General features: G+C 39.5%; 1 non-coding gene across 1 annotated transcript; it reads right to left on the bottom strand.

Moving 5' to 3' along the window:
* Positions 1 to 2,691: 2,691 nt before the first annotated feature.
* On the bottom strand, positions 2,692 to 2,779 carry MIR548AI (microRNA 548ai). Its single transcript, NR_039672.1, has one exon. It is a non-coding gene; the product is annotated as a microRNA 548ai (primary transcript).
* Positions 2,780 to 5,838: the final 3,059 nt, after the last annotated feature.

The following is a 5,838-nucleotide window of genomic DNA, read 5'->3' as shown; positions in this document are numbered from 1 at the left end:
ATGTAGTAAGTGCTCAATAAATGCTGTCATAACCTCCTGTACTATGAATTGTCTATTTATATTATTCATGTAGTGCAGCTAGGAAAACCACTTTAACTCACTGAAGTTGTTTTTCTCTCCGTGAGTGTGCAAAGTTAAATAGGGGCAAAAAGCATCACCCAGTTTTTAGACAAAGGAAAGTGTGAGGAAGGAAGCTCCATGGTCACTTGCTGAATAATGGGCAACATTCACGCAAGTCTTCATGATAAGTTTGTTTGCTTCCATGTCTATTAATATAAAAGCCAAATCCTTCCTGTCTTTGGTTCTTTTTCTTATTAGCAACGTTCAAGTTTCTCTCTGGCCAAGTTTTACGTCCTACTTTGTCCACTTAATAATTATATTGACAGTCCAGCTGTGGCAGAATATTTTATTTTGGCCCAACTCTCCTGGTAAGAATAACTAGAACAGCTGGATAAATATTAACAACTATTTGTCTGAAAGCACTGAAGAACAACTGTGGCAGCAAGAACTGGAGATGACCAAGATCCTGAAAAGAGGGGAAGTGCAGAGAGGTGAACCTGACATTGAACATCAGACATTTGCTCACTGAAAAGTGGCAGCTGGGAGGCTGAGAGGCTGAGCAGAAAGTGGCGGCTGAGAAGCAAGAAAATGAGAACAGTCTTTCACAGGTCTGGGTAGATAACTGGTGGTCAGGACCCACCAAGGCAAGGAGTGCTAGTAAACACTTCAGGACTGCTGAGTTCCCTGAAGCAAATATTTTTTCTATTTGATGCTCTTCCTTTCGCCATTCAAGTTGCTAATAAATTCAGATGTTTGTAATAGGTTAACCCAATTTCACTATTCTAAACAACAATAAAGAGCTGAAAAAAAGCTACTATGTTGGTGAGAAGAGGGTGCTTCGTGGGGACAATTCTTGGCTCCTCTTAGCCTAATTGGGCTCAACTTTGGAAAGTCAGTCTCTTCATCAAGTTATAGGATTAGAAAGAGATCAAATAGAAATGCAAGATTTTAATTCAGATCTCATAACTGAGAGTCTGGGTTGAGTTGCCCACTGCTTGGATGTTTGCAGGCTATCCATGAAGAAATATTAAAACATTTTCAGTTAAACAATAGGGCAGTGGTAACATAACTTACAATACATGCTTTTTCAAACCATGTTGTATGTCTTAGGCTGAATATGTTCAGAATGCCATTGATTTAGATACTTTATTTCTGTGTTTGAATACCAGAGTAAGACACCTATTACCATAATTGGAAATTTCCAAATGTAAAATTTCTTCAGAATCCCAATGCTGAAGAGTACATGGCTTTAAAAGATAGCATGCAATTTTGTTTTATTGGTTTTCTTTTATGCATGAAAAATTGTCAGTCTTGTGCATGACTGCCATCAATACCCCATTATTGGTTAGAGATTAGAGAGGATTTTGAGTACAGGATGTCTTGGTTCTGGTAGAACAGATACACTCAGAGTAAGGAAGTGACTAGGTAAAATGTGTCAGTGCATCTCTGTGTAATTTCCTCTGAGTTGAGCATTTATTTAAATGAAATAAGTAAGGAAGATGCAATACTGACTTGAAAGCTTAATTTTTTTTAGATAAACTTTGTGTTTGGAAATAATTTCAATCTTGCAGAAAACTTGTAAGAATTAGAATAGAACAAGGTACATCATAAAGTCTTTAGCCACATTTACCTATTAACATTTTACCCAATTTGTTTTATTATTTGTGGTCTCTCTTCATATCTACATATATCTCTATAATACAATATATGTAAATGTATATATACTCATACTATTTTTCTGAGCCATTTAAAAGTAATTTACATGTATATTATGGTCCTTTATCACTAAATATTCCAGGGCACATTCTTAGTACAGGGATACTTTTTTTTTTTTAAACTTTTTTTTTTTTTTTGAGATGGAGTCTTGCTCTGTTGCCCAGGCTGGAGTGCAGTGGTGCAGTCTTGGCTCACTGCAACCTCCGCCTCCCGGGTTCAAGCAATTCTCTGCCTCTGCCTCCCGAGTAGCTGGGATTATAGGCACCTGCCACCACACCCAGCTAATTTTTTTTAATTGTTTTATTTTTAGTAAAGATGGAGTTTCACCATCTTGGCCAGGCTGGTCTGGAACTCCTGACCTCGTGATCCACCCACCTCAGCCTGCCAAAGTGCTGGGATTAGAGGTGTGAGCCACTGTGCTCGGCCTAGTACAGGGATATTTTCTTATGTAATCATAGTACAACTATCAGCTTCAGGAAATTTAATATCGATACAATACTTTTTATATGGGCTAGTGTCCATATTTTAATTTTGCTAATTGGCTCACTAGTGGCCCTTGTAGCATTTTGACTCCTCAATACAGGATCCAGTCTAGGGTCAGGTATTGCAATTAGTTGTCATGTTTCTTTAGCCTCCTTTAATCTGGAGCATTTCCACAGGCTTTGTCTTTTTTGACATTGGCGTTTTTGAAGAATACAGGCCCCCATTTTTTTTTATATATATATATAAAACACCTCTCATTGTGTCAGATGCTTCCTCGTGGTTAGATTCTGGCTAACCTGAATGTGTTCTTGGCTGACATGCACCGTAGCTGATGGGACACATCCAGAGGTGAACGATGGGCATCTCCCCCTCATTGGTGATGTTAATTTTGATCACTTAGTCAAAATGTTTCCTGGGTCCTCCATTATATAATTATTAGGTTGATGCAAAAGTAATTGTGATTTTTTTTTCCATATTTTAAATGGGAAAAACTGCAATTACCTTTGCACCAACCTAATACTGTATTTCCCCTTACAACTAATAAGCAATCTGTAGGGAGGCACTTTAAGACCATTCAAATGTCTTGCCTTGCATCGAAATCTCCCCTCAATTTTGCATCCATTGATGATTCTCTTCTGATTTGATCTTTGCTCTAACGATGATGTGCAGGCTTTCTAATAGTGAATATCAGGCAGCCAAAAGGTGATTCATTTTATAATGTGTGTAGGCTTAGTGAGGGTGGCATAGATTGGAACTCACTAGAGCTCAGAAGTCAGTTTATTCCCTGTTTTTCTTCTTTTTGTCCCATCAACATGGATTGATCCACACGTGGGCTTCTGAGGGTTTCCTTCACTTAACTTGTAACTTGATTTTTCTTTCCCTGACCCCCTAACCCTTGGGAAAGGAAGGGGAGGGGGCAAAAGAAACACCTACCTGTGAAGTATCAGCAAAACAGTGTGTAGAAAGAATAAATAAATAAATAAAAGAAGGCAGGCAGCCAACTCTGAGGAGCTTGCAGCCCCGCCCCCTGCCGGGGTTTGCACTTCGGGGCCCACAATTCGCACATTACCACGGGATAACCAGGAAGATAGCAGTGCCGCGCCTCTCTGCCTCGGGGGGGGGGGCTGCTTTTCCTGTAGCGGAAACTATTTGTGCTCCCCAGTAAGTCCAGGAACAATCTCCACTTATTATACCAGCTCAGAACCCAGGACTGTTTACAGCCTCACGCAGACAAGACACTAACCCTCACTCATTACTGTCGCTGTGGGGATTTATCTGCACCACACTCTCCTTGCATGTGGCCCACATTTTCATCCAGTAAAATCACATGTTGTTAACTCAATATATACAGTGAAAACAGCATGAATAATGGAACCTTTAATCCTTATTTCTCAAAATTAGATTTCCACTTTATCCTTCTCCCATTTCCTCTCTTTTAAAAAATTCTTCTCAGTGCCAAGCAATAGATGTTGTCCAGACCTTAACTCTAAGGAGATTCTATGGTATTTCTATTCCATTACCAGGTACCTTTGTGGATTCAATTTCTGGGTGGATTGATTGTATTTCTTTCCCTGGTTGCTTCACATGTGACTCATGAGAAATTAACATCATCCTTGTCACAGATGATGAGAAAAAGAGCCCTATTGACACGGGGTACGTTTCAACAAATGTAATAAAAACTTTAGGTCTGATTAAACTCACACCTGTAATATCAGATGTGAAGACACACTCATACCCTGTGTCTTTATCTCCGTCTTCCTTGGTAAACAGATTTATAGGGTTGGAATTATTTTTGGTATTAAATCAGAAACCAACAATACTAAATCAAACTTCAAGGATGGGGTTTGTCAGAGACTGGCGTGTGGCATTAAGACCCCTTTCTTAACATGCATAGTATTATACATTATGCAGACAATACGTCCAAAGGTTGTGCTAAGGATATTCAGCTTGGTAAATTTTCATTATTCCAGAGATGGGCTGGTAAAGCAAAATGAACCAGATTTACATTGACCATTAAGAGGGTCTACATGCATAGACTGTCTATTTCTTTTAAAGGTTTAGAAATGGTTGCCCACATTTTTTAAGTACCGTGGCTCTGAATATCTGAGTAAACACACACACACACACACACACACATATATGCGTGTGTGTATATATATGTGTGTGTGTGTTTGTGTGTATATGTAATACATATGTACATTAAGATATATGTCTCTCTATATATTTGTGTATGAATCAATGATTTGATTCCATGGGTTTTATGGAGCATGTCATAGTGGTTAAGAGGCCCATTTTGGGAGTCCACTGAGTTCCAGTCCTGACTCTGCCCTATTTGTTAGGTAGCCTTGGCAAAGTTTCCCTATCTGTAAATGGGGATAAATGTGAACCCTTCTTGCAAGGCTGTCGTGTAGACTGAATGTGGTAATATATGGACAAGGCCAGCATGTGTCTGGTGTATGCTAAGTGTACAATCACTATTAGTTGTCATTACCAGAGAGGCAGTTTAGTATGAAGTGGATGAATTGAACTGTGACTCATATGATTCTGATCAGGAACTACCATTTTGAAAAAAACCAATTAAACATAATAGCTAAAACGAGATTGACCTACATTGATCAGGAAGGTGGCCAAGAAAATAGATTGATTAGGTGTGGCCTATTCATTTCATAAATTTAAGTCTATCTTAATGATTTCTATCAAAATACCTTATAGACTTATCTTGCCTCATGGTCACTCCCAAATTTTAAAGAGATGGACAAATTTAAAAGAGATTTTCTTTCATGTGCTTCTGTCTTTGGATGGCTCATTTTTTTAAAACAAACAAAAGGCTTTCTTTTTCATGTACTCGAAGAGATGTAAAGTCTTTATTAGTGAAAACTTCATGACGGAAAATAAGTTGCAGCTCATTACTGTTTAAGCCTTTTCATCTTACTGGGCTTTAACGGTTTGACAATAAGGCTGTCCATGCACCATGGTAGCCCTGGGGAGGAAAGCTGGGGACCTGTTCCTACTGGCTGTCAGCATTTGCTCAATTTAGAGACTGTCAGTGAGGAAGGGAGAAGGGTGTGTGAGCAGGTCTGGTGCTCTGGTCCAAACAGAACACCCAGGTGCACCATCAGTTACCAGAGCAGCCAGCAGCCAGCCATGCCCTGGCTTGTCTGTTCCTGTGGTACCTCACTCCAGTAACACCTATCACTTTGCACCGTCAAGGCATTTCTCAAGCATTAGCAAAACCTCTTTGTTAAGAAAGCAGACATTCCTGTTTTTACTTCATACAGAGGGAGATAAAGGTGGACGGAAGAAAGAGATTCACTTCATCAACCGAATATTCCTGTGTTAGCCTTGGCAGAGGAGCCTATTCCTGAAAGCAGGAGAGGTTGATTTCTGCAGTTTCCGCATCCAGTTGACTAAGCCTTTCTTTTAACCAGGTGACAAAAAATACCCCCACATGCATATAGACTCCTATAACTTGTGGTTTCAGGATCTCTCTCTCTCTTTTTTTTTTTTTTTTTTTTTGAGACAGAGTCTCACCCAGGCTGGAGTGCAACGGCTCAATCTTGGCTCACTGCAACCTCTGCC

Source organism: Homo sapiens, chromosome 6, assembly GCF_000001405.40.
Source record: "Homo sapiens chromosome 6, GRCh38.p14 Primary Assembly".
NCBI classification, from domain to species: Eukaryota; Metazoa; Chordata; class Mammalia; order Primates; family Hominidae; genus Homo; species Homo sapiens.
This window is presented reverse-complemented; position numbering and strand designations above follow the sequence as displayed.